Source organism: Homo sapiens, chromosome 14 (genome assembly GCF_000001405.40).
Source record: "Homo sapiens chromosome 14, GRCh38.p14 Primary Assembly".
NCBI lineage: Eukaryota > Metazoa > Chordata > Mammalia > Primates > Hominidae > Homo > Homo sapiens.
In genome coordinates, this window is record NC_000014.9 from 83,994,732 (window position 1) to 83,996,493 (window position 1,762).

At 40.5% G+C, this 1,762-nt stretch overlaps 1 annotated feature.

Annotated features, from left to right (window-relative positions):
* Positions 333 to 588: a silencer, noted in NCBI's record as "fragment chr14:84461408-84461663 (GRCh37/hg19 assembly coordinates)". NCBI's record gives its function as "represses an EF-1alpha promoter that drives an FKBP-Casp9 reporter gene in an ReSE screen in HepG2 liver carcinoma cells {active_cell/tissue: HepG2}" and the evidence as "EXISTENCE:reporter gene assay evidence [ECO:0000049][PMID:32094911]".

Below are 1,762 nucleotides of genomic sequence, written 5' to 3' on the forward strand. Positions count from 1 at the left end.
TCCTATTCTTTCTCAACCTACTTACCATGCAGATGTTGAAGGTCTACATCTTTATGATGATTTACTTCCACTTAATGAATAGTAAGTACATTTCCCTTTATGATTTTCTTCCTTTTTTTTTTTTTTTTTTTCAGATTGAGTCTTGCACTGTCACCCAGGCTGAAGTGCAGTGGCACAATCTCTGCTCACAGCCTTCACCTCCCAGGTTCAAGCAGTTCTCCTGCCTCAGCCTCTGGAGTAGCTGGGATTACAGGTGTGTACCACCATGCCTGGCTAATTTTTGTATTTTTAGCAGAGATGGGGTTTTGCCATGTTGTCCAGGCTGATCTCAAACTTCTGACCTCAAGTGATCTGCCTGTCTCAGCCTCCCAAGGTGCTGAGATTACAGGCATGAGCCACTGCACCTGGCTCTATGCTTTTCTTAACAACCTTTTTTTCTAGCTTGCTTTATGGTAAAAATATAACACATAATGCATATAACATTCAAAATACACAGGAATCAGCTATTTATGTTATCTGTAAGGCTCCTGGTCAACAGTAGGCTATTAGTATTGAAGATCTTGGGCAGTCAAAATTATATGCAGATTTTCATATAACTGCATATGAAGGGGTGCTGTGCAGGGGATCAGCACCCCTTTCCGCCTTGTTGTTCTAGGGTCAATTGTGTTCTCTCTGCTCTCTGTCATGTGAGGTCACAGTAAGAAGAGCATCATATGGAAACAAGGAAGCAGCCCCTCACCAGACACTGGATCTGCTGGTGCCTTGATCTTGGACTTCCCAGCCACCAGAACTGTGAGAAATAATTTCTTCCTGTTTAAGTCAGCCAATCTGGGGTAGTTTGTTGTAACTACTCAAGCAGAGTATGACAGAAATATATGACATATATATTTAATATATTTAATGTATTTAAAGATGTATATAGGATATATATATAGATATAGATACAGATATTTAAAAATAGAGAGAGATGCAGCTTTATACCAATATTTATTTCTGTGTGTCCCCGTGTATACTAAAACCACATGTTCACAATCACATCTTTAATTTCAGTCCAATGCAACAAAATCAGCTAAGGTGGCATTTTGTCCCCCCGCCCCCTGCCCCCCACATGCTAGACCACTCTCCTGTGGGGACACTTTTCTCATCCAGCTGGCAACAAAATACCCTCAGAACACCCTTCTGTGAATTCATGCTCCTTAGCCCACTCTGTCTAACACCTCAGGTCAGGCCACTGCTACTACTACATTTCACATGCACAGACACCCTGCTCACCCTTCTTGGATTCTGACTACCAATATTGGGTTGTCTATCCATGGGGCTAACCTCATCACCACAGTTGGATCCAACACTGGGTGCTGGGCGGCCACCATGCCCAAATGAAGGCCATTCTCACCCTCACTGGGCTTTAATATACAACTTTAGGCCCCACAGTGCCACTGCATTCCACCCAGTCTTCCTTGCCCAGGCAGACCTCATGACTGTTGGATAGGAATTATTCAAAAGGTGAAGATAAAGGAAAGAAAGAGAAGATAAAGAGGAATAAGAAGAAATAGAAAGTCTAAATGATTACTTTAAGCCATTTTAATTGCTTCTTTTACAATTAACATCTTATTGAAATCAAGAAAATACATTTGGTTCACACTTTTTTAAATGTATGATTTCCATCAATAAGTAAATCAATAATATAGTCACAACATCCAGGTTTACTTAGAAATTTGGAGAAAAGTAATCAAGCAGTTGAAAAAGTAAATTAATTTCAGTG